Here is a 2,072-nt window from a genome sequence, read left to right as displayed (position 1 = left end):
TGGTGCAAGGCAAAATGTGTGACAGTCTCTTGGCAGGATTCATCAATCATTGCAGACCTTTTTCAGTGGGGATAAAGGGCTCAGTGTGACTCGAATAAGGGTTTATATTCCAGGAATCTTGGTTTAGTAGAAATATATCCTCTGAGTTATTTTTTATTAATAGCTCTTTGGGGAGAATAGGTTGTAAGAAAATTCCCCCTTCTTGGACTATGGATTTATTACTAAAAGCCCATATCAAATCTCTTGATCCATTAAGTACTGTGAGTTACTATACATCATAGGTGACTATCTTTGGGGAAGCAATGACATAGTACATAAGACTGACAATACTTTGTGGGTGGAAGCCATTCGGTACACTTTACTTACCTCCTCTCCTCCTCTTCTTTTTTTAACCAAGAATGGTCAGGTACAAACATGTATAATGCAGTTAAATATTTGGCCAACTGATATGTATTAATATATTTGCTAATGTTTTCGTAATTTTCAAAGATTAAAGGACAATGAAATATTCATGCTTTTAAAATATTCAAAATTTTAACTACTCATTTTTATTAGCTAAAAATACTTAATATTGCCTGAGTTCTCAGTGTGTGCTAAACATCATATTAGCTGTTTTATGTGCATTTTCTTTTTCATTCGTTGTTCTCCACTTTTCTCTGAGGTAGGTGACAGTATGGGCTTTGGTTTCTTGAGTTGACAGCTGAGGCTCAGAGAGGTTAAGTAATTTAGCCCAAGGTCACACAGATATTCAGTGATGGGGCCAGATTTGAACCAATGCAAGTTGCCTGTGTTTTCATCTATTACTCTAAACTGACTGCCAAATAATATAAATTGTTCTGTAGTCTAAGCCAGTTTATTATTAATATTCCAGATGTGGGCTGGTTTTGGCTTCAACACCAGAATAGGAAACTCTCTGGGTCTCAAGATAGTCCTTTGTTATAGAAAATCATTTTCCTTTGTTATCTAAAATCTCTCTTCTTGTAGCTTTTATCCACTGCTTTTGGTTTTGTATCTAGATCTAGGTATATGAAAGCATATTAAGAACTACACAGCCCAATGTGGATATTATTTTTTATAAAAGCATTATTCTATGAAAGGTGAACCTTGTTCTTATGTAGTAGACCTGCATGTATTAATGGGTACAAATACATTATTTGATAGAAGAAATAAGACCTATTCTTCAGTAGAGTAGTAGGGTGACTGTAGTCAACAATAATATATCGTACATTTAAAAATACCTACAAGAGAAGAATTCGAATGCTTCTAGCATAAAGAAAAGGCAAATGTTTATGGTGATGGATGTCCCAAGTACACAGATTTGATCTTTACAAATTATGTAAGTGTATTAAATTGCTGCATATACCCAGAACTATGTAATCTGTTATGCGCGATAAATTTTCTAAATGGAAAAATCACAATAAGAAAAAAATAAAGACAATGATCATGATCCTTTATCCCCACCTACCACTTTTCTGGGATGAGCACTATCAGTCCCTACAAGTGTCTTCTATAAAAAATAATAACAATAATAAATGGAATGCATAATAATTCCGGAGCAATATGCCAAGGACTTACATAAATACAAATTCACCGAGTCCTCTTGTAAACCCTCTAATCTTGTTTCCACTTTACAGATGGGGAAACTGAGGCCCAAATCAGTTGGGTGACATGCTCAGGCCACATTGCTTATAGATGGCAGAGTTGAATTGCAAACCCGAGTCTGTCTAACTCCAAAGCTTTTGCTCCTGTGGGATTTCCTTGGAGGCAACTCTCATTAGGCCTTTCTGTAGTTGAGCCCCAGAACCCATTGTCAGGGTCAGGCCCAGGTAGCTGTCTCATGCACTCCTTTTCCTCCTAGACTGTTGGTCCCAAGACTGGAACCAACAGTCTTGGTCTGTTGGTTTCTATGGTTCCTTCTCGCATAGAAAACTATCCCTACTCACTCTTTCTTTTGTGGGTGCCTCTATCAAACTAGCTGCAGAATGAAGCTTCTACTTCTTTTCTTTATCATTTTGAGTGTTTCCTACTGGGATACCAATAGAAAATCAAGACGATGTAAAAATATCTCAAAA

This window comes from Homo sapiens, chromosome 16, assembly GCF_000001405.40.
Source record: "Homo sapiens chromosome 16, GRCh38.p14 Primary Assembly".
Lineage (NCBI taxonomy): Eukaryota > Metazoa > Chordata > Mammalia > Primates > Hominidae > Homo > Homo sapiens.
Note: the sequence above shows the minus strand (reverse complement) of the source record.